At 36.6% G+C, this 26,078-nt stretch overlaps 1 protein-coding gene across 4 annotated transcripts; it reads right to left on the bottom strand.

Annotated features, from left to right (window-relative positions):
* Positions 1-5,480: 5,480 nt before the first annotated feature.
* On the bottom strand, positions 5,481-25,418 carry SPACA1 (sperm acrosome associated 1). Of its 4 annotated transcripts, none has more exons than XM_011536160.3 (7): positions 25,134-25,418; positions 18,317-18,373; positions 14,606-14,707; positions 13,497-13,603; positions 12,731-12,866; positions 8,100-8,220; positions 5,481-6,137 (listed from the first exon to the last, which is right to left on the bottom strand). In XM_011536160.3, the coding sequence occupies exons 2-7, from the start codon at positions 18,333-18,335 to the stop codon at positions 5,984-5,986; spliced, it is 639 nt and encodes a 212-aa protein (XP_011534462.1). In that variant the 5' UTR covers positions 18,336-18,373; positions 25,134-25,418; the 3' UTR covers positions 5,481-5,983. The 4 variants fall into 4 exon arrangements, with proteins under 4 accessions (XP_011534462.1, XP_016866824.1, NP_112222.1 ...); XM_017011335.2 differs by having other exon boundaries at positions 25,138-25,418; NM_030960.3 differs by lacking the exon at positions 25,134-25,418 and adding an exon at positions 24,206-24,478.
* Positions 25,419-26,078: the final 660 nt, after the last annotated feature.

Genomic DNA, 26,078 nt, shown 5'->3' with positions numbered 1-26,078 from the left:
TCACCAGCAACAACCCGTAACTCAAATATGAGGATGAAATAGTTCCCAAGGCCACAGGGAAGTGTAAAAACTCTGAGCAGATGGTAAGAGAAGCAGACTTCCACATCTGTGATGCCTCTCCCTCCCCATTCATTCTGACAACAAGTACATGGAAAATCTTCCCCATGTAGAAACTCATGGTATCTACACTGGAAAAAATGAAATTGAGGTGGTAAACTAACTTTCCTACTATCTTGGGTTCCCTGGAAGGAAACTTTCTTGCCTTAACCCAAAGGAACTATTGTGACTGCCTGAAGAAGGAAATATCCCTGAGGAAAGACAGAGACAAGGGAGGTAGGTGGAATCACCATCCCCAGCCCTGGAAACTGCCTGTAAGTTGGTCAAAGGAGATGTCAAATCAGAGTGGCTACTCAGCAGCACTATGCTATAGGAAGTATGTTCCACAGGTCCCCTGGGCACAAACTCCTAGCCAGTCTTCCCACACCTCCAGGATAATGTCTTTGGGACCCCTCCCATTTGGGACAGACAGCACTCCCATCATTTACTAGAGCAAGGCAAACCTGGGCTTAAAATGGCATCTGGAGCCAAAAAGGAGGCAGCAACTTAGTGGTAAGGATTTGCTAAGCAAATATATATATATATATTTAAAGCCAGGAAGAGAAAATGGAAATAACTAATCCTTTAATGCAAAGACATAGGTATATACCTACTAGAAACAGGAGCAAATAGGGAACTATGATCTCCTCAGAAGGACAAAGCAAAAATCCAGTGACTGAGCCTAACAAGATGATGATTTGTGAGCTCTCCAACCAAGAATTCAAAACAGCAATTTTAAAGAAACTCAGTGATCTCCAAGATAACATAGAAGAGCAATTCAGAAATTTATCAGAGAAATTTAACAAAGAGATTGAAGTGATTAAAAAAATTAAACAGAAATCTTGGAATTGGAGAAATACATTTACTGAATTGAAGAACTAATTAAAGGCTCTCAACAGCAGGATGGACCAAGCAGAGGAAAGAATCAGTGAGCTCAAAGACCAAGTATTTGAAAACACACAGTTAGAGGATAAGAAAAGAAAAAGAAAAAAAAAAAAAGAACAGAAAAACCTATGAGATACAGAAAATTTCCTTAAAGGACCAAATCTAAGAATTATTGGTGTCCAAGGGGGAGCTAAGGAAGAGCAAGAGGTAGAAAGGTTATTCAAAGGAATAACTGAAAACTTTCCAAAACATGAGAAAGATATAAGTATCCAGGTACAGGAAAGTTTGAGAACACCAAATAGATTCAACCCAAATAAGACTACCCCAAGGTATATAGTAATCAAACTCTCAAAGGTCAGGGACAAAGAGAAAATTCCAAAAGCAGTAAGATAAAGCAAATAAGATGCAAGAGAGCTCCAATTCATCTGGCAACCAACTTCTCAATGGAAACAAAATAGGCCAGGAGGAAGTGGAATGACATTTTCAAAGTACTTAAGGAAAAAAAAATACCATCCAGAATACTACATCCAGAAAAATTATCCTTCAAATATGAAGGAGAGAGAAAGTCTTTCTCAAACAAAAGCTGAGAGAATTCAGCACCACAAGAACCATTTTTCATGAAGTACTAAAGAGAGTTATCTAATCTGAAAGAAAAAAACCACTAATGCGCAAAAGGAAAACTTTTCAAGCTATAAAACCTGCTGGTAAAATTAAATACATAGACAAACCCAGAATACTCTATTGCTTTAATTGTGGTGTACAACCAATTCAAAACTTTAGTATGAAGCCCAAAATACAAATCTATCAAAAACAATGATAGCTACAACAACCTGTTAAGAGATAAGTAATATAAAAATATGTAAATTGAGACAACTAGAAGTCCAAATGTCAGGGGAGTGGAGTTAAAATGTAAATATTTTGTGTGTTCCTTTTTTGCCTTTGTTTCTAGTCTTTAATTTGTGATAAGTCATCATCTCTTTCAAAGTAACTTGTTACATCTATAAAATGTTTTTTGTAATCCTCATGGTAACCACACTGCAAAAATCTATAATAGATTCACTAAAAATAAAAACAACTAATCAAAACATACTATCAGAGAAAATCACTTAAACACAAATGAAGATAGTAAGAAAGGAGAAAATGAAGAGAGAGGTCTCATAACAACCAGAAAACAGATAACAAATTGGCATTAGTAAGTTCTTAATTATCAATAATAAAACAGAATGTAAATGGTCTCAATTCTCCAAGTAAAAGGCATACAGTGGCTGAATGGATAAAGAAACAAGACTCAACTATATGCTGCCTTCAAGAAACCCACTTCACCTATAAAGACAGACTGAAAGTGAGGGGTGGAAAAAATATTCCAGGCAACTGGGAACCAAAATAGAGCAGGAGTAGCTATACTTATATCACATAAAATAGACTACAAATTTAAGATTATAAAAAGAGACAAAGGACACTATATAAGGATAAAGGAGTCTATTAAGCAAAAGGATATAACAATTGTAAATATCTATGCGCCCAACACTGGAGCTCCCAAATATTTAATGCAAACATTAATAGATATAAAGAGAGATATCTACTGAAATACAATAATAGTAGGGGACTTTAACAACCTGCTCTCAACAGTGGACAGTTCATCCAGACAGCAAATCAACAGAAAAACAGGGGAGTTAAACTACATACTAGATATAACAGGCCTAGCTGACATTTAGAGAACATTTTACCCAACTGCAGCAGAATACACATGCTTTAGCATATGAACATTCTCCAGAAGAGACCATATCTTATGCCACAAAACTCGTCTAAACAAAATTAAAAAATCCAGGAATCATATCAATTATCTTTTCTCACCACAATGGAATAAAACTAGAAATCAATAACAAGAGGCAACTCAGATAATACACAAACACATGCAAATGAAACAACATCCTCCTGAACAACCAATGGTCAATGAAGAAATTAACAAGAAAATTTAAAAATTTCTTGAAACAAATGAAAATGGAAATAGAACATACCATAATTTATGGGATAAAGCAAAAGCAGTACTAAGAGGGAAGTTTATAGCAATAAATGTCTATATCAAAAAAGGAGAAAGACTTCAAATAACCTAATGAAGCACCTCAAAGAACTAAAAAGGCAAGAACAAACTAAACCCATTTGTAGAAGGAAAGACATAATAAATATCAGAACAGAAATAAATGAAATTGAGATTTAAAAAATTACAGAAGATCAACAAAACAAAAAGTTGGTTTCTTGAAAAGGTAAACAAAATTGACAAACCTTTAGCTAGACTAATAAAAAGAAGAGAGAATCAAATAAATAACATCAGAAATCAAAAAGAAGACACAACAACTGAGATCTCAGAAATATAAAGTGTCATTAGAGACTATCATGAACAATAATAAACCAACAAATTGGAAAATTTAGAAGAAATAAATTCCTTGATACACGCAATCTACCAAGATTAAACACCACGAAGAAATAGAAAACTTCAACAAACCAATAATGAGTAGCAAGATCAAAGCCATAATAAAAAGTCTCCCATCAAAGAAAGGCTCAGGGGCAGAAAAGCCCAAGATAAGACCCACTGGCTTGGAATTCCAGCCAGCTACCATGAACAACATTGCACCTCCCTAAGAAGGAGCTCCCAGGGGGAAGGGCAGGCCATATCTTTGCTGTTTGGGTGCCGTAGCCATTCCAGCCTTCAGGCTTTGGAGAGTCTGAATTGACCCGTGGTGGAAGGGATCTCCCAGCACAGCACAGCTGCTCTACCAAAATGTGGCCAACTGCTGCTTTAAGCGGATGCCTGACCCCATTCCTCCTCACTGGGCAGAACCTCCCAACTGAGACCTCCAGCCACCTCTGTCCAAGCTCTCCAGCCCACAGAGATCTGAATTCCCCCTGGGATGGCTCTCCCAGAAGGAGGGGGCAGGCTGCCATCTTTGCTGTTACGGTGACTTAGCTGTTCCAGCCTTTGAGCTTTGGAGAGTGGAAGCCAACCCAGGGCAGAAGGGATCCTCCAGCACAGCATAGCTGCCCTACCAAAATGTGGCCAGACTGCTGCTTTAAGTGGGTACCTGATTCTGTTCCTCCTCACCGGGCAGGACCCCCCAACCAGGGGCTCCAGCAACCCGTGCCCATGTTCTCCAACCGACAGAGATGTGAATTTCCTCTGGGACAGAGCTCCCATGGGGAGGGGCAGGCTGCCATCTTTGCTGTTAGGGTGACTTAGCTGCTCCAGCCTTTGGGTTTCGGAGTGTCTGAGGTGACTGGAAGCAGAAGTGGACCCCCAGCGCAGCACAGCTGCCCTACCAAAACGTGGCCAGACTGCTTTTTTCCTGATCCCGTTCCTTCTCACGGGGCGGGCGGGACTTCCCAACTGGGGTCTCTAATCATTTCCTACAGATGCCTTTGGGTGGGCAACAAGTCCATGACTCCTTGGGACAAAGCTCTCAGAGAGAGGGGCAGGCTGCCATTTTTGCTGTTTCATAGCCTTCACTGGGGACACCAGTTCTGGAAAATCTGAGGTGACGAGGGACTGGAGTGGGCCCCAAGCAAACCACAGCAGCCCTACAGAAAAGTGGCCAGATTGTTATGTGGGTGACTGTTCCCATATCTCCTCACTGGACAGGTCCTCCAGGCCTGGGCCTCAAGCCATCGCCCCCTACACCCCCACCCCCGCCACCCCTGCCATCCCCACCATCCCCCATCACCCCTGCCACCGCCGCCCCCGCCAGAGCTACTGAGCCAGCACCAACTGAGCAACTCCCCAGACAGAACCTCTGGGGGCAACAAAAAAATAATTCTTTTGGAAAATTTTATGAAAACAATTTTTTTCACTTAAAGTCCTCAGTGGATTTCCAACAATAGATAACAAAATCATTTTCCAGCCAATTCCTCACTGCTTTTCTCAAATACAAATGCTATGTAACAGAAAACATGAATAATTCTACAACACAGCTTATTTCTTGGGTACTAGAGGGAGGTGTACCATAAATGCCCATTTACAATGTCTTCTGCACAGGTGTGCAAAGAGTTAATGGTGTCAGATAAATCCCATAATAATAGAAAAAAAGTTGGCATAGAATTCATATAAACATTAAAAAGTATGTATTTTGTGCTACCATGATAACCTCTGAAAATTCATTTCTGATGAAGTCTACTGAATCAAATTAATGTCTTGGTACCTTGTTTGATAGTTGGCCATAACAGTATCACACAATTACACAGAACAAAAAGGCAGTGATAATGTTCAAAAATAAGTACCTTGGTTCTGAGATGTTACCTGTATACCAAGAACAATGAAGGTACTTATCAGTGGTCATTCAAAAGTCCTTAACTCACTGCTTCTCTGAGAAATACAGGACGTGTTAAATTCATGTCATTTCCTCAGGCACCTCCAAGTTCCTCTCCAGTTCTTCCTTACATATTTCCTATATACAATCATATTTAAGTCACCTAATATATGGAAAATAGGTTGAGCAATGCTTGGCACATAGTAGTCACTAAGTAAGCATTTATTGTTATCATTATCGTTATTACTTCATGTCTTACAAACTTTGTATGTCACATTCCCTGAAGAGATTCTAAAGTATGATTTACTTTAGCAAGTTCAACCCAGTGCTTCCAGGGGAGAGAAAGTCTAATATGTAAAGCATTTCTATATTACATTGTTCTTATTTAAGACAAAACAGGCAAATCACCTAAGAAGTTATCAAAGTGATCAAAAATGCACTTAGAAGATTTGTTGGGGGTACCTTTAGATAAATATCCCCAAGCTATTACCTGAAATAAGTGTTGAGAACAAATTAAAAGTAATATTTGATAACTGTACTGGAAAAATGCACTGATAAAATAGTCCTATCCCCACACTGCATTTCCTTCACACTGTGGCAATCCATCGCAACATTATTAAAGTATTTCAATGTGTATTTTATTTTTGTAATAATGAATCTAATATTCTGTAATATCCTTTGGTTTGTTATATATCATTCAAACATCATTCATTCCATTCACTTAAAGCATCATCTTCACCAGGCATTTCTGTTGGTAATTGGTCAAGAGAAGTTGAATCTTTGTATCTCACAGAACTCTGCTCGGATTGTACCTCAGGTGTAGAGGCTTTTGCCCCCCAGAAAGCCTTGACTGCTGCCCTGGAAGAAAAAACAAAAACCAAAACCACCATATGAAGTGAAAACTAAAACTGAATAGATTTCTATATTTTCTATGTATAGAAATATATATATATGTGTGTGTGTGTATTACCTGTATGTATATATTATATATGGTACAAATATATATAACCTGTACATATACAAATACATATAACCTGTATACATATTTGTACCTGTATATATATTACAGGTACATTACATTACAGCTATATTACAGGTATATTATAAAGGAAAGAGAATATAAACGTATTTATGACTACTGAACTGTATACTTTAAAATGGTAAAAATCATACATTTTGTATTCAAATTTTTTCTCAATAAATAAAATTTTAAAAAATTATAATGATAAAAATTACTATTCAAAAATGTTCAGCATCTACACTAAGGTTACATGACTATACCTACTCAGGAAAAAAAATCGGAAGGCTGATTTTTAAAAATACTTTTACAGGGGTGGGGGGTCTGGGACATACTCAAAAAAATAATTCTTTTGGAAAACTTTATGAAAACAATTGTTTTTACTTAAAGTCCTCAGTGGATTTCCTACAATACATAACAAAATCATTTTCCAGACAATTCATTGTGATGATGCATCTAGCTGATGCATCATAAACTAAAAATGAATAATGAATAAAAAGGCACTTCTTAAAGAAGAGGTAATATATAATATATATGCAAATATAGTATATATATTATATGTGTACATATAGTATATATGGTATATATATTATATATGTAAATATAGTATATATACTGTATACAGGTCATATGTACTATATGTATATATAATATATACTGTATATAATATTATGTATGTATTATATATACATCCATGTAAATATAATATATATTACCTCTTCTCTAATAAGTGTTTTTCATTCATTATTTTTAGTCTGTGATACATATATATTACATACATGTGTCTATATATGTATACACATACATACATATATGTATATGTATGTATATACATAATACACGTTTGTATACATATACGGTTCAAATATATGTGTGTATACATGGTAGAAATATACATATGTAATATATATGATGATATTTATAATAGTTACATGAGCATTACACCCTGGTAAGCCTGAGGGCTCATATACATACATACTACATATATATGTGATGTATACACAATCATATGTAATATATATGCATCACAAACAAAATAATAAAAAGACACTTCTTAGATATGAGGTAATATATATGTTATACATACATATATCTACATATATATTATATAACCCATATATTATATACTCATGTATATTATATATTATATATAAATAATATATACTACATACATATTTGGTACACACATATGACCTATATATGATATATGTATATTGTATATACATTATATGTACATAGAAGATATATGTATATTGTATATACAATATATGTACATATATATGTACATATATATAAAACATATATATTACCTCTTCTCTAAGAAGTGCCTTTGTATTCATTATTCATTTTTAGTTTGCGATGCATCAGCTACAAATCGATAGTATATGAGCCCTCAGACTTACCAGGGTGTACTACTCATGTAGGTATTATAAATATTGTCATACAAATGAATTAGTAGGTTACAATAACCAAGTTTTAGAGTTGAGAGAACCACAACTGGACAACACAAATATTCATTAAATAAAACTTTTTAAAGCAATTACCGTGTAAAATTGTAAAAGTTGCATTTAAAAGCTCTCTCATAGTTGGAGAAGCAAGTCATGAGATTGTTTTAAAAAGCATCTACATAAAGAGACGGGGCAGCCTGAACTAGGGCAGTCACAGGAGTAATGAAAGGCGATGGACAGTTTCAAGGCAACATGTAGGAGACATCACGGACAGGGCTTTGCAATTCACTGGATGAGGAGGGGGAAGAAGAGGATGTCAATCAAGGGTGATGATGCATTCCACTATTCACCTACCAATTTATGATTATGAAGATCAATAAGAAAATTATAAATACACAGATAATGACTCCTATGGTCAGCACAAAAATTAGGGCTGCATCAGTGGCTGGTAGGCTTGATCTTCTCATCTGCAATTCTAGAGAAAACACACAAACCTAAGGAGTATTACTACTGAGGAAAAGGAAATGAATATCTAACTTAAAAGTTTATATTTGAAAAACAACTCTAGAAACATAAAGAAATGCTTAGTGCAGAGAAAATTATTAATGATCTTGCTCTGCATGTTTGAAATGTCCTTTTCAAACATGAAAAAAGTTAAAAGAATTTGACAACGAACAGCCTGTATTACCACCATCTAAATACTACCATTAATATTTTAAAATTCATCTATCCATTCCTCTATCAATTCATTAATCCATCTTATTTTTATGCATTTCAATATAATTTGCAAATGTCAGTACACTTCCTCAAAAATTTTTCAGCAAGCATATCGTTAACTGGAGTTTAATATTAGTTTTTTCTTTGAAATAAAATTTTCACACAAAGAATTGCACAAAGATCTTAAATGTACATTTGCTTAGTTTTGACAAAGGCAAACTCATATATGTAACTAAATGTTAGTCAAGATATAGAATATTACTATACCCCAGAAAGTTCCCTTGAGCCTCTTCCTAATTAACTCCTTCCTCATCCTCCAGAGGCAACAAGCATCCTGATTTTCTTTTCCACCATAGATTAGCTCTGACTATTCTAGAACTACATATAAATTGAAACACACACTAGGTAATCTCTTGTGTAAAGATTTGTTTACTTAGAATAATGTTTTAGAAATTCACCCATACTGTTATATGCAACTATCATTTTTTTATTATTACTAGGTATACTCCACAATTTGTTTACTCATCCTCCTACTGATGGATATCTAGGCTGTTCCAGTTGTGAGATACTATAAATAAAGCTGCCATGAACATTCTTATACAAGTCATTTTGTGAATATATATCTTAATTTTTGGCTAAATGTCTAATAATAGAATTGCTGGGTCGTAGGGTAGACAGATGTGTGTTTAGCTGTCTAAGAAACCATGAGAACTTTCTCAAACTGATTGTACTGACTGTACAGGTTTTATAAATGTTTTCTACCAGATTTTGGCTTGCCTATTCATTATCCTAATGATTTTTGTTAATGAGCTGAAGTTTTTAATTTTGATGCAGTCTGATTTATTCAATGTTTCCTTTTATGGTGATTGTTTTCTGAATTATGTCTAAGAAACGTTTGCCTACTCCTGAATCATGCAAATAGTCTCCTATATTTCTTTCCTAAAACTTTATGGGTTTAGCTTTTACACTTAAGACTATGATACCTCTCTAATTTTTATATTTGCTGTAAGAAAGGAATTGAAGCTCATTGTTTTCTATACACATATCCACATACCCCGACCCCTCTCTCTTTAGGAAATGGGGTCTTGCTATATTGCCCAGGCTGGCCTTGAACTCCTGGGCTCAAGTGATCTTCCCACCTCAGCCTCCCTAGTAGCTAGTATTATAGGCACACACCACTGTACCCACCTCATGCACCACTCTTACCTCAAGCATTCTCTCCCATGTCTCTCTGCTCTTTCAGCAAATAAGGTTATCAAAGAGACAAAGCCAATCTACCGTATGTATTACAGTATTGCTACATTGTAAACTAGTAAAAAGCCAATTAACATAGAATATTACTTACTTTGTGAATTACATAGCTTTATTGTATCTCTTTTATGACCCCAAATTCTGGAATCATAAAAGATTCATGGAAGAAAGAACTACAGAGATCATCTGATCCAACTATTGCATTATACAGATAAGTAAACCAAGGCCCAGGGAGGTTTAATTTGTACAAGGTATATTTTGACTATTTAAATACTTTGATTTTGATAAGTACTACTCTGTCAGAACTAGTCTTCTATATGAGCAATCTCAACTGCTTATTTTTCTGGATTTGTTTCCCTATCTGTTAGACATCATGGAGTATAAGTTTCCATTTTGCCTAGTAATTCTAGAGCTATAAACTCAAGTTAGGGATCTCGCTAAATAGTTCCAAGTATGCTAGAGAAAATACATCTATATTTACGTTCCAACATTGTTGGATTTTTAAAAATCTTTTTATTTCAAAATAACTTTAGATTTACACAAGTGGTGGCATTTTGGAAACTTAAATAAAAAACACCTTTCAGAACTGACACCTGACAAGGAGAAATGCAAATTTCATTTATCCATTACTCTGCAATGTTAGCTGAGAGAGGGTGGAGAGTGAGGGGCATGAAGATTTTATTTATTACAACAGTAGTCTTGCAAGGGTCACCTAGACTATTTTTACAGGTAATGAAAAAAATAGGCTCAATTTCCTATTGAAGTATTTAATGAAAAATAGGCTAAATTTGATGCTCTCACCTTTTAGATAAACTAAGCTTATGTACTTATTAGTTTCCTAGGACCACCATAACAAAGTACCACAAACTGGGTGACGAAAACAACAGAAATGTATTGTCTCGCAGTTTTGGAGGCTAGAAGTCTGAAAACAATGTGTTGGCCGAGCCATGCTCTCACTGAAGGTTCTTGGGGAGGATCCTTCCTTGTCTCTTACAGCTTCTCAGCTTCTGGTAGGCTCAGAAATTCCTTGGATTCTGGTAGCATAACTCCAATTTTTGTCTCCATTTTCACATGGCTGTCTTCTCCCTATGTCTGTTTCTCTGTGTCTTCACCTGGCATTCCGCGCCCCACTTTCCATCTGTGTTTGTGTGTGTGTGTGTGTGTGTGTGTGTGCGCACAAGCATGCCCAAATATTCCTCTTCTTATGAGGGCACCAGTTATATTGGATTAAAGGCCCACTCTGCTCTAGTACAACCTCATCTTAACTAATTACATCTGTAAAAAGTCCTATTTCCAAATAGAGTCACATTCTGAGTACTTCAAAGTATCTTTTTTAACAATGCCTAATTATGAAAGACAACTATTGTGGGAGTGAAAAATCTGATATTTAAGTGAATGGATGAGAATTTTTCACTAGGGAAACCATATTTACCCTAAAAATATCTCAATTACATATTTGTTTCATGCTAGTACCATATTGTGTAGACATTTCTAGCCAAAACATTTGTTTGATTTCTAATCAGCCAAAGGGGTCTGTTGCAGTGGTGTACCCAATTGTCATGTTTAAAGAAATTAGTAGATACTGGAGTGTTTTTAAAATATTTTGTCATTCAATCAGTGCACGTACTGAGATGGCAGAGCTATCCCACCATTCCTGGACTGCTGCTATGAGAGAGAGAAGTTAACTTTGTCTCAATAAAGGCCTGACATTTTAGGGTCTGTGCTCCAGCCTTTAACATATACATTACCAAATGCATGCTCCCTTCTAATTATGAGAGGAGTTAACCACACTGAATTGTCCTAACAGGGACGAGATAGTAGGACAAAGACTGAGAATGGCTCCACACACCTTTAATATCATGAACGAGGGCTAGTTGAGATATTTTTTAGTTTAATGATGTTTTTATTCTCTTGCCTTTTTTAGAGCTTTATTGAAAATGATCCTTTTAACGACACCTGATATCCCAATAGAGGAATAAGATTATTAGCTTTCACCATGAAGATGTTTCTAAACTCATTAAACAGCATATCAAAGGAAGTTTAAATAGTAGTTTATTTTTTAAAATCACCCTAAAATATTTTAACCTGTTTTCATTTCAATAAAATGGTTACGTTGTGCGGTATCTTTAAACTACAGCAGAAGCTCTTTGTGTTCAGAAATAGCTTCAAGAAGTCCAAAAACTCCTTTAAAGTTACATGCAACTTTTGGCATATTTGTGTATGTGGACATTTTTCTGGAAAAAGGATCCTGAGCCTTGATAGGATTCTGAAAAGAACTTGTGACCAAGTCCCCACATCCCTAACAACAAATTTGATAACAACAATTAGAACAGTTAAGAGCAGCTGAACAAAAGGAAATAATTACCTGGATATGTAAGCCATCATAGATTAAACTGAATATAGGCAAATGGATCTATCTCACAAGGAAAATATGGTTTCTAATACATAAAATGACATTCAGGACAACATTTGCATTTTGTGATATATACATTTTTGAGAACTGTATTAGTGCTTCATCAAAAAACATTTGTTTCAAATATATAATTTTTAAAGAGTCATACTTTGACATCGTATTTCTTAATTTTATTTACTTTACTGAATGAAAATTTTCATAAGCATCCATGAGAATTCCATTTATCCATTTTCACTTTTATAATGAAAGTAAAAGCAAGAATATAATTCAAGTTAGAGGACTGTTCTCTGAAAACACTTAAGAAATACACCAGTTTCCCAAAGTGAGGAAATTGTGACTACTTTGTGAAAAAGAAATTAAGTAGTATCTTTTAGAAAAGTCTAAATGATGTAAACCAGTGGTTCTCAAAGTGTGGTCTCTGGACCAGCAGCAACAGGGCAACTTGTTAGAAATGGAAATTCTTGTTCCAGTCCCATCCCAAATCTACTGAATCAGAAACTCTGGGGGGAGGGCTAGAGACTGGTGTTTTAACAAGCCTCTAAGTGATTTTAATGCTCTTTAAAGATTGGCATATAAGCAAACCAAGACATTGCTGGACACTTACCACTGCTCGTATAGACTGTGAATTTAATAGTTGCTACTATTTCATTATTATCCAGTGTGTCACACTCGAAAGCCAAGGGGTGACTTTCCTTGCGTACTTCTAGGATTGCTGAATCATTTACAAGTATAATGGATTGCTATTTAAAAAGAAAAAAATAACAAAGTATCAACATTTTTCATGTACACTTACCAGGAAACAATTTATTTCCCTTAAGGAAAGGAGGGTTACTGTCTCTCTTAGCCTAGTTGAGTAATTAATGATCTACATGGATTTTCAGTCACACAATCCAGACTTCAAATCCCAACCCTACCACTTCCTGCCTGTGTGACTGTGGACAAGTTAGTTACTTACTTGTAAAAATGGGTTTAATGATAGTGATTACCTCAGAGAATTGTTATATGGATGAAAAAAGGCTCTAGCACTCAGTGTCATGTCTGGCACTTAATAAACCCTTAATTAATGTTAGCCACTGCTATCATTATACAACTCCTATATAAGCCAATGAAAACCTTCCTTCCGAAATGGAATACTTTGTGTAAAATAGACGTTTTAAAGTTCTGATTATAGCTGGCCCTTAGACTTATGTAAAGTTTAGTCCTAGTAAATAATGAAAATTTTAAAATTCCAAAATAATAAAGTTGTATAATTCTTAACTTCGTTTTGGCAAACTGCTTTTAAAAAGAAAGTTTTCTGAAAGCCATCAGAACTGAGAAACAAATTTTATCACTCACTAGAAAGCACCAGGTTATATCCATTCATTACTCACTTGGTCTTGTCTTAGAAGTTTCCACATATATTTGAAACGATTTAAGGGAGATGTGTGAATACATGCCAATCTAACACTTTCAAGACTTTCTGAAATTGGTTTACCCCCTGAAAAAAAATTAAGCACATAAATACCATTGGGCATTATAAATTGCTTTATACACGAAATTACTTTTTTTTTTCCTGAGACAGGATCTGGTTCTGTCACCCAGGCTGGAGTAGAGTGGCATGATCTTGGCTCACTGCAATCTCTGCCTCCTGGGCTCAAGCCATCCTCCCACCTCAGCCTCTCAAGTGGCTGGGACTACATGCACATGCCACTGTGCCTGGCTAATTAAAACAAAATTTTGTAGAGATGGAGGTTTCACCATGTTGCCCAGCCTGGTCTCAAACTCCTGAGCTCAAGTGATCCTCCTGCCTCGGCCTCCCAAAGTGCTAAGATTACAGGTGTCACAATACTACTTTAAAAAGCAACCTCCAGTTTTAAAAATCAACTATATGCTGGAAGTTATCAAACATAATTAGGAGTTTGAGTGTAGAGGAACAGAAGACTGATAGGTGCAAAGATAAAGTCACCAAAAGAAGCAGGTGAGGAGACACCATGGCTCTCTGCTCCTTATGCAGAATAAGTTGTAATTGACCTACTGATCTGTTAGACTAAACTATGAGATCTATTAGTGGCTTCCAATGTACTGGTTAGGGACTCCCATTAGAGATACTGAAATTTCAGAACAGCATAATGTGATATGGAACAGCTGTCAAAGTTCCCATTTTAAAGTCTACCAATCTACTGACAAAATGACATGACCAAAGCATCAAAAGCATTTCGCCACAGGACAGCCTCAACTATAGACCCTATATACAGTAAGCCTCCAGTGTATTATAGAGAATATATGTTCAATTTTAGATGTCTCTGAAAAAATGTGAAGCAAAATCAGAAAGTTGCTCAGAACTATAACTGTTTGAAGAAGTGGAATTTAAAATTTTATGATTTCCTTTGAGTATGTCAACTGGTTGCCTCCTTCTACTCAGTGGCAACCTGAGGTGAAAAATATTTCCCCAGAGTAAACTCTTGCCCACAGTCTCCCTCCAATACATAATTCAACTCACAGCCACAATCTGTTGGTCCACGGCATTCTTCTACCCGTACAACACACTTGGATTCACCACCAGGGCATCCATTTGTTAATATAACTTCTCTAACACCAATACCTTTGGTTTAAAATTTAAAAAGGCAAATGTTAAGAAAAAAACTGATTCCAGAGTGTCTTCACTTTCCCACCTAGGTCTTTTCTTAAGACTTTTCTTCTAATTTCAGAAATTAAGTTTCTAAATTCAGAACGATAACACTTAAAATTTTTTTGGCTCTTCATTTTGAATTATTTCCTAAAACAGCATTTTCTGGAGTGAGTTACGTGAAACACTAGTTCCTCTGGTTACCATAAGAAAAAGGATTCCATGATCATACACATTTGAAAATGTTACATCAAATGAAATTAAAGGGACCGCTTTACTACGGAATTTTGAGGGAACTTTTAATACACTAGTAAAATAACATGCTATTGTGTACATTCGCATTGATCTAAGATGTAAAAACATTTTAACATCTTTAAAATCAGAATACATTTACAATTGATAACATGTCATAAATTAATTGGCAGTATTTTTCCTTTTTAGAGTACATAAAATGTACTTCTTACAGTCCATAAATTCGTGGATTTGATGGAATATAGTGGTATACAATATTTCCCAAACTTATTTGACCATGGAACTTTTTGGGGAAGCATGGGGAAAGTTTCTGGAGGAAAATAAAAAATCACATTTTAGCATAAATGATGCCTTTAAATATTTAGATTCATAAAATGTCTGTATTAAATATAGAGAGGAGAACCTATTACTGACCAAATCTCCATTTCCAACAAGATGCTCTCTTTAGATTGTCACACTTTTTGTAACAAGAACTTAACTCTCCTAACTGATCTCAGAATTCCAGAGTTGGCCTCACATCACCACAATTGAGAGAAATAACAAAACATGGGATTAGCTACATGTTGAACCGTGTCCCATGTTAAGACAGGCTAAGAAAGAGTCCATTTTTATTTCCTTAATTACCAGATTTCCTCTTCCAGCCCCTCTACGATGTTATCTTAGAGGGCAAAGGGAAGTTGATGACTAGAGGTGTCTTATAACTGCTTCTCCAACTTGACAGTGCATGCAAGTCACCTGGAGATTTACTAAAATGCAAATTTTGATTCAGCTGTTCTTGAATGGGTTTGAGATTCTGCATTTCTAACAAGCTCCCAGGTGATACTGATGCAGTCTGTGGACCGCACGTTGAATAGTAAGGGAGAAGGCTACATACGAAACAAGAAAATGGAAGGATGGAAGGAAGAAGGTCTTTGGTTAAGAGAGATGATGGCTGAGAATGGCTGAAGTACGGCTCCACTTGAGTTTATCAAAGTTTTTTTTTGAGACGGAGTCTTGCTCTGTTGCAGAGGCTAGAGTGCAGTGGCGCGATCTCAGCTCACTGCAACCTCCGCCTCCCGGGTTCAAGCAATTCTCCTGCCTCAGCCTCCTGAATAGCTGGGATTACAGGCGCGTGCCACTACGCCCAGCTAATTTTTGTATTTTTGGTAGAGACAGGGTTTCACCATGGTGGTCAGGCTGGTCTCGAACTCCTGACCTGGTGATCCGCCAGCCTCAGCCTCCCAAAGTGCTGGGATTACAGGCATGAGCCACCACGGCCAACCTGAAAGCGTCTTTAGAAGCACAGCCTTAATTCCGAAGTAATTAACATGCTATTGTTAATATTTTTAAAACAGGTTTTTTGTTGTTGTTTGTTTTGTTTTGTTTTTGAGATGGAGTCTCGCTTTGTCGCCAGGCTGGAGTGCAGTGGTGCCATCTCAGTTCACGCAACCTCCACCTCCCGGCTTCAAGCAATTCTCCTGCCTTAGCCTCCCAAGTAGCTGGGACTACAGGTATGTGCCACCGCACCCAGCTAATTTTTCTGTATTTTTAGTAGAGATGGGGTTTCACCATGTTGGCCAGGATGGCCTCGATATCTGGACCTCGTGATCCACCCGCCTCGGCCTCCCAAAGTGCTGGGATTACAGGCGTGAGCCACCGCGCCCGGCTTAAAGCAGTTATTTTATGTATTTATTTATTTAGCTAAATACAGTTCACTGAGATGCATGTAGGTGTGGGATTTTCTGTAATACCAAGTAACATCTAAAAATCTGCCTGGATATAAAAGAAAACTTTTTGACTGCTAAAATATTGTTTCAGGAGTTTAACAGAATTTTCATCAAGGCATTTTTCTCTTCTAGTTCTAAATTGGAAGGTTTTTAACATTTTCGGCATGAAATATTGCTTTTCCTAGTTTATTTTTTTCCTTATAACTTATTACCATCTGATACATTACATGTTTTACATATTATGTGTCTGCTCTTACTAAACTATACATTGCTTGGGGGCAGAGAGTTTTGTCTGCTTTGTCTGCTCATATCCCTAGCATCTATAACGATGCCTGGCACATAGTAGGCAAATAATTTTAAAAAAATAATCATTTGAGTGAGTACAATTTCTAAACTTGTCTTTAAATAATAGAAAACAATGGCAATTACTCGAACTGTCATAAAAATAATTCTCTACCTGTGAAAATTTCCGAAGTTAGTAGCTAAACAAAGATGTAAACCACAAATAAGTAATTGCAGGCTTACTACATGGATTTCTCTCATTTTATGACTCTTGACTTACTAAGAAATTAAGGTTAAAAAAAAAAACAGGTTAAAACAATTTTAAGAGATAGAAAGAAGAGTGGTTGCCAGGAGCTGGGAGGAGGGGGGAACAGGAAGTTAGTGTTTAATGGGCATTTTAGTTTGACATAATAAAAAAGTTCTCGAGATGGGCGGTTGTGATGGTTGCACAAGAATGTGAATATGCTTAAGTCAACGGACTTGTATGTTTAAAAACGGCTAAAATGGTAAGTTTTATGTTGGGTATACTGTACCACAATTTTAAAAAGCTTCTCCAAATAAAAACAATTCAGGTGTAATTTTTGACACCGCCACCCCTGCAAAATTCATTCTGATCTAGATCTGAATGGATTTTGTCTTCTTATCCTCTGATAATTGTCCCGTTTTCCCTCTCATCACTATTTTCTTTCCAAGGCAGATTCTATTTAGAAGAAATTTAATTTGATTGTGAATTATCTATGGTCTTCTCAGTACCCTGGTCTACAGCATTGTTTCTCAAAGGATAGTCCTCTAACTAGCAGCATCAACTTCATTGTAAACTTGTTAGAGAAATTTTATGTCCAATTTCTACCCATGGAATGATCAGACTAAGTCATATTCTTTGAATATTATCCTCCCCACAAAGCCAATACATCTTTTCTCCAAAACATGACACGCAAATTGGAGAAATGTAGAATTTAGAATGGACTATTACAAATAAGCAAATTCTTGATAAATTTGCCAACACAATATGTGGGAAGACATCTGTGAGATGCATTGGAAAATCTTTCGTCTTCTGAACATCTGTGAGATAGAGAAAATTTTACTTTGGTGAAGGCAGTTTATGTGCAAAAAAAAAAAAAATAGGGAGCTGGCTTAAAATAAGATTTAGAGATTATAAACTGAAAATATCTTACAGTTTAAAGCAATCACCCTGAGTTTTGTGTATACATTATAGTTATTAGAAATAAAAATCCATGAGAGATGCATGAAAGTACACAAGTTACAAAGTTGCACACTATCTGCTTTTACCTTTCCTCCCCCGCAAATTACAACATGGTTTATTCATCTGCTCCAAGCTACTTACCACATGTAACGGTGCACATTCCGAATTCTACTTCTTTGACGACATTCCTATTTGAAACTAAACATAAAGGGTAAAGATACATTATTTAATTATATGAAAACTTTTCTAAGTGAAACACCTCTTACTTGGAGATGAAAGACATGTGTATGATATGGGCAGCAGACATTTTTTAAGTTTTCCATTTAAATCAGAAAACAATGCCATTCTGAGTACTGTTATTGTCTAACTCAAAAGAGTCTCAAACCTCTAAAGAAGTCCATTAAATTAGGAAATAACCTAATAGGAAGGTTTATATTTAAACTTTGTATATACCTTAAAAATGTTTTTCATCAGTTGATATATAGTGAGTCAAAACTTGATAGAGGGTCTCAGAAAAACACACAAAGCCCTATCTGTTGTAAAAACCAATGTTTTCTATTCTCTATTTTCCAAAATTGAGTGTATAATTTCCATTCAAAAAGAAGCCCTTAACCAGTGTTCATTAAAATGATAAAAGTTATAGATTAGTTCTACTCATTTCCCAGGTTAAGATGGTAAATTTAAATATTTCTAAGAATTTATTTCAACACTTTACAAGGTTAGTATAGGAATATATCACTATTTAAGAAATTAAGTGTTGTTGGTTCTAAATCATATGTTTCTCTTTTTCTAATCATTTGAAGTTTGGCATAGAATTCCACTAGCTATAGTATATAAGCAATTCTTCAGCTCAAATTAGGACGAAAGTCTCAATAGAAAAAATATAAAGTGAGTTGTTAGAAGATGACTTTCAAAAGGCATTGTACCCTAGGACAACAAATCGCATGGAAAACACATCGAACTGGAGTCCAAAGAGCTGCTTCTATCACTAATTAGCTGTTTGCATTTAAGCAAATTTAATTAAATGCTGTCAGGCTTAGTTAACCCTTCTGCAAAATTTGGAAAGGAAAATCCTCATTTGATTGCTGTAAGAATTAAATAAGGATAATGTGTGTGAAAGCATTCTATAAATTGTTTAGTACTACAAACATACTTAAGATATAATTACCCAATTTAAACTCATTTTGTACTTATTAATTTAATGTTTTTTTCCCCTATTTTGATAACTGTAAAATCTCAAAATAGCTTCATAAACACTACTATTCTGTACTTAAGAGCACCAAATATAGTTTTTTGTTTTTGTTTTTCCGAGAGAGTCTTGCTCTGTTGCCCAGGCTGGAGTGTAGTGGCATGATCCCGGCTCACTGCAACCTCCGCCTCCCAGGCACAAGTGATTCTTCTGCTTCAGCCTCCTGAGTAGCTGGGACTACAGGCAGACGCCACCATGCCCACCTAATTTTTGTATTTTCAGTAGAGACGGGGTTTCACCATGTTGGCCAGGCTGGTCTCAAACTCCTGACCTCAAGTGATCCACCAGCCTCAGTCTCCCAAAGTGCTGGGATTACAGGAATAAGCCACCGTGCCCAGCCCCAGTATAGTATCTTGCATACTCAGTAAGCACCCAATGCACATAAGTAAATCAATATTGACTTTAAGTCATTTCTTTAACGAAAATAAATGATTTAGACTATCATGATGATCCATTTTGAATTGTGGAATGCTTAGATACCTTCTACAGACACATTATGAGACACAAATTAAAAGCCAAATCCTGAACATAGAAAACACGGCTAAGAGAATGAGTGCTGCACTACTTTTAAATATAAGCCTTTTTCAAAAACCATTAGTCAATCACTAGGCATTCTACTTTGGGAGAGTTGTTCAATTTCTTCCAACTTGTTTCCTTAAAGAAAAAAAAAATGAGACTAAATAAGAAAGTTTCTAAAGTCCCTTTCAGCTTTAATATTCTATGATGTATTGAGTGTCCATTAGTTTACTCAGTAACTTTTTTTAAAAATGGGAATCCTACAATGGTGGGTCAGTGGAATTGTATGTAACTGGACTTCAGTTTGGCATTTGTCAAAATTTCTTGTTATAAACCTATGAGTGGTAAAAAAAATATATGGTCTGAATGTCAGTAGTTTTATGTGAAACTGTTTAAACTCTAAGACCACAGTTGTTAATTAACCAGTTGGTGTCAACATGGTAGGAGTGATGTGTCACAGGGCTCTGTCCTGTTCAACATTTTTATTAATGACCTGGAAAAAGATGCTGTTATCATGCTGACTGAATCCAGAATTCTGCAAAGCTAGAAAGGATAGCAAATATATTTGATGATACATCTGGATCTAAAAGATGACAGGGTGAAATAATGGGCAAATCTAACAAAATGAAACCTTGTAGGAATAAAAAGTCCTTCACATACAGCTAAAAAGCCAACTGTCCAAAACTATTTTATGGGTGGTCTTAATTTGATAGGACAGTTAAAAACGAATGGAGAGTTCAATAGTGAATTCAATAGGAATCAAAGATGTGCAGAGGCTTCCCTAAAAATCTACTGGGTCTTAGACTACACTAACAAAAGCCTGGCATCCACAGTGATAAGGAAAATGATCTTGCTCTTTTAGTTGTGGCCAGATCCTGAAATGTTCTCTTCAGTTCAGGACAGCACATGGTAACTTTTGGTATATATCATCAGAGTGCAATTTGAGTTTTTCAGTTTCTGACAGTTGATTTGAAAGGCTGATATTTTATGACTTCTGTTCTTCCTTAGAAGTATTCCAAGACAAAAATAACATATAGTTATATTTGTATAGGATAAAACCCATTGTATAGACTACAACTTTCTATTTTGCAATTACTATGTAGGTCTATTGGCCCCTTTTTATAAATCTAAGGGTATACTTGTATAAAAGATATATTTAAAAGGTATATTACATGGTATACAAGGTATAACAAAAGTATAAGGATATAAATCTATTATCTTTTTTTTTTTTTAAGACAGAGTCTCGCTCTGTTGCCCAGGCTGGAGTGCAGTGGCGTAATCTCGGCTCACTGCAAGCTCCACCTCCTGGGTTCACGCCATTCTCCTGCCTCAGCCTCCTGAGTAGCTGGAACTACAGGCACACGCAACCACGCCCGGCTAATTTTTTGTATTTTTAGTAGAGATGGGGTTTCACCGTGTTAGCCAGGATGCTCTCGATCTCCACCTTGTGATCTGCCCACCTCGGCCTTCCGAAGCACTGGGATTACAGGCGTGAGCCACCGCCCCTGGCCATAAATCTAATATCTTAATGATTTTTCTTTATCTTGAAACATTGTGATATTTCATCATCCATAATGATGGTATTGCTCATTATTTTCAACTACATTTTTAAATGACTAAAATTTAAAAATGAAAGAATGATTGGAATTGCCTAGAAAAATAATGTAATGGTGAAAGAATTACACTAACACAAGCTATTTTACAACATCCCATGTTTTCATATTGCTTTGCCCAAGATATTGCATCATCTTTCAAGAAGATACAAAAGAAGTCTAGAGGTATCCTCCTTGTAGTCTATTTTTGGCTTTTATTGAACACAGTTGAGATTTCACAATTTTTCATTTTTTGCCCATAATGGCAAAGAGAAGAAAACTGACAGAGAAAAACATTTCACAATTATTGAACGAATCAGAAGATGAAAAGAGACAGATAACAGCACTTTGGATGCTAATGATGATGATGAAATTGATTGTATAAGCAAAATCTCAATGAGAGATGATGATTATCTTGGATGAATATACTAGATGAATTTTCTCTAACTTAAGAATTGATGAGTAAACATTATATTTCTGGGGATGAAAAGAATATATGGTATTATCATGTAGTTAGCCTGACAACAGGAAAGATTTAATCCTGAAATATACTGTGACAATAACTTGTGCCATACTGTTTCGCTAAAAGGATGAGGACGGTATTCTTTCCCTTTTTATAACGTTTATGCACCAACATTTATTTGCCAAGGTTTGTAAATGAACATATTGTGATGAAAGATATGTATATAAAGGTGACTGAAAGAAAAGATTATGTAGAAATGAGTAAAATTCATTGGACCAATCATTCTAATTGGTGTTTATAAATCTAAAGATGAAAATATTTTCCAATTATGAAGAAAAGAAGATGGCTTTCTCTTCAACAAAATATATGCCTTTGTAGTTTTCAAAAGTGTTGGTTTTTTTGACAATACAAGTGCAAAAAGAACCAAGATTAATGATAAGCTAGAATTTATTAACGATGCACTCAAAATCTGGAATCAGTATTAACATGATGAATGCATTCCAGGTTCATGCTTAACAGTTGAGCACTTAGTTGCATTCAAAGTACTTTGCCCAGTTAGAGTACATACACCTTCAAAACTAGGATATATGGAATAAAAATTTGAATTTTTCCATGTTTAAATTCTTCTTGAAATTTCTAACACAGTTGTTTTCACTATCCCTTTATTCTTATTTGTAAATTATTTTTAAATGACTAAAAAAAAATTAAAGGTCCACTGGATAGTAAATGGGGATAACTGTTTCTACTGATCCACTGAGGGTTAAGGGGACAGTGCAAATTTCAATAATGGTTCTGGAAATTTTCAGACCTATAACACCTCAGATTGTTTAAAGTTTTGGATTCTCTCGCTCCCCAAGAAAAAGCACTTATGCATGAAATAGTATGTATTAAAATCCCACAAAGTACATGGATTCCTTGAAGTCCGTAGATGAGGAAACTGTGACTCAGAGAATAAGTAACTAACCTACATTTTAATTTGAAGGTAAGACATTATAACTTTATTGCCTGAGTTTAGCCTAAATAATATTTAGCATTTTATAGCTAGAAGTATTTCTTGGCCAGTTTAATACTAAAATTGTTAATTCAATTACTTTAAAGAAGAGAATGAAGCAATAGCTACTATGCTTTAGGACGTGTTCTCTTCTTTCCTAGTCATCTTTCTTTTTCACATTTCCGAAGTCAAGGATCTTTTTAAGCTCTCTGTAGTATAATGTTACAAGGCCGTGCAAACCTCGATCCCACTGTTAACCTCAGACAGTTCATTTCTTTCTGTTGGTGCTGAGGATCACTATCAGGAAATGAAAGAAAGGCTGGTAGACACAGCAGTCACTCGATATGTATAGACTGAAGAGATATGAGAATGCAAACAATATTAAAAGAATTGCAGCTGGGTCATTTAGAAGGGAAAGGAATAATCTTTCTTGAGAAGGCAGCAAACCTGCTGCTGACCTTCTACCTGCTAGAATGTGAGTTACTAATCAATATGACATGTACAACAGCCTGTCAAGTTTTATTGCTTAATGAGCCAGCAGAAAAAAAAGCAAATGTATGTACCAAGCGGGGGGCTCATTGTTCCTTGGTTAATATGTAGCATCTAACAAAGCCACTAGCTGGATCCCTTGACAGGTGTTTTCTACTGCTCCATTCCTTTGTCCGAGGCCGCACATACCAATCAAACACCACAATGCAGAGGTGCTCAAGGCTAGGAGCTGCAGGAAGCTGCCATGGGGCTTCTGGGCAGTTTTGTCGGCATACTGGTCTATCTGGGTGTATCGTCGTAAAGGGGGATTCTGAATTCCATTGCAACCCCAAGTGCAAATGTGGAAATCAAGCAACTTGGAACTTGAAAAAAAAAATCTACTATGAGAAGGGAAAGTGACTGCAAGAGGAGTCAAAATGATTCCTCTTGTTGGAAGGCTACCTCCCACCCTGAAAAAAAATCTTTTTCCTTGTCCAAAGCAATATTTAGAAGTGTTTCTATAGCAATTTCTATATACGTGCTTATCTGTGTATCTTGCTGTGGCCTGGGAGAATGAGCACATTCTTCTTCAAGGCCACAGGATGCAAGAAAGGGACAAACTCGGGGCTGAAGTATGAGAGAGAGCTCTCCTGACGTTAACACACATAATTATGGTTCTCAGGCAAAGAGCAGGCCTTTGCTCCGTCAACAGGGGCCTCCGCGTGCCCCGCAAGGGAGCTCCCGCCCTCACCATCCTCGGTTTCAGGCGGAGCGTAGTTCTCCGCGGTCTCGCTGTCGTTGTTTTCGGTCTCCTCCTCGCCCTCGCCTTCGTGGGCCAGGCCGGCATCCTGGACGGCAGCGGTGACGTTGGTCCCGCGCGCGGACTGGAGGCCCGCCAGAAGCAGCCAGCCGACAGTCATCAGCAGCCCGGCGGAGCAGCCCGTGCCCCTGGGGCTCATGGTTCTCGGCCCCGACGGCCGTCCGAGGCGCAGTCGCCGCCGCGGCTCCTGAGGACAGGTACGTCGAAGAGAGCTGCGACACCCCGCCCGTAGCCGCCCGGCTCCGAATCCCGTGACGAACCGTGACGCCTCAATGGTTGCCGGGGCGCTGCTCCGGTGCTGAGCGCCTGGAACTCGCGCGGAGCTAGGCTGCGAGGCGTGCAAGACGGAACGCGACGAGAAGCCGCGTGCGACAAGTCCCTAGGAGAGGACGCCGCCCTTCCCCGCAACCGGAAGTTCCCTGCCCAGGGCGCCTCCTTGAGCCTTCCGGGTGCGGTAGGCGTTGCTGTCGGCTGCTCCTTCTGCCTCAGTTTATGGAGCGACTCTTCAGCCTCCTCGCTCACCCTGCCTGCTTTCTTTTAAGACATTTCTTTTTCGTACATAATGTTTACCCTTCCCCAAACTAGACTTCTTATCCCTCACATACTCTTCGTGTGACTTGGTTTCAAAATTTCTTATCCAGAATATCCAATTTGGGATGTATTGAGAAGGATTCGATTTCTTCTTTGGGATCAGAATAATAGACTTTGAGTAAGAAGAAATTTAGAAATCATCTGATACTCCAAGTCCCTCATTTTTAAGTGAAGAGATTAAGAATCAGAGAGATGAAATGACTCGCCCCAAAAATCCAGAAATTATTTACAAAGCTGGATCTCACAGTCATATCTCCCGAACACTTACTTACTCGATGATCAGTGATTCTTATGATTCAAGGTTAACGAAGAAGCCTTTAGTGGGGGTGATTGGGAGTTCAAGCGCTGAAAAGTTAGGGTTGACTTTTTTGATTCTGTTATTACAAATTTTACCTCATCTAGTAGTCACAATGTGGTTGTTTGTTGTTGTTTTTGAAAAGACATATAGGGTGCCATACTTTGAGGCTTAATGTTTAAATTCCTATGACAAGTGAGATGAAAGTGAACTTGCATACACTCTGGCTTTTGGAATATTTGAATATCTAGTCTCAGCAGACTAACAGATAAGGGGGGTAACAGAAAAGTATTAAGAGGTTCTTCAGAAACACTTATTTGTAACAAAATAGGTTGTTTGAAGCAGAAGTTGAAATTTTGTATTTGAATATTTTCTCCTGCAAAGGCTTCTAATTTTGAAAATACAAGGACTGCTAAACACCTTCAGTGTTAAAGTTCAAATTGGTATTGGTGAGAAGTCTCGGGAACATTTATGTCAATTAAAATACCTTAAAATATAGCGCTTGACAAGATTATGAGGGACGTTAACATGGAAAACTTAGATTTGATCTTGAGAAGTAAAGGCCTTTGTTTCATGGCTAAATGAGTCAAAATTTTTCTTTTTTGAATCCTGAGAGAAATAAGTCAAAAATTATGCCGTCAAACACAAACTTTAAAAAGATGATATATAGTATTGTTGCTGGCAAATTGTTGAGTGTTTCAAAGTCAATTTTAGGATCCATTGCTTCCTGAAGATAGTATCCTTTTTTAGCAGAGGAAGTCCCATAAACTCTAAAATATGTAATTTGACTCAAGGAAACATTAATAATCTAACAAATAATCATCTCCAAAGGGAGCCAGATGGGTCTCAAAGAGGACCTGAAAGATTTAACTCTGAAATAAAGACTATTAATATCTCTAATAGCAGCATTATAAATCA

The sequence above is a fragment of the Homo sapiens genome, chromosome 6, assembly GCF_000001405.40.
Source record: "Homo sapiens chromosome 6, GRCh38.p14 Primary Assembly".
Lineage (NCBI taxonomy): Eukaryota > Metazoa > Chordata > Mammalia > Primates > Hominidae > Homo > Homo sapiens.
This window is presented reverse-complemented; position numbering and strand designations above follow the sequence as displayed.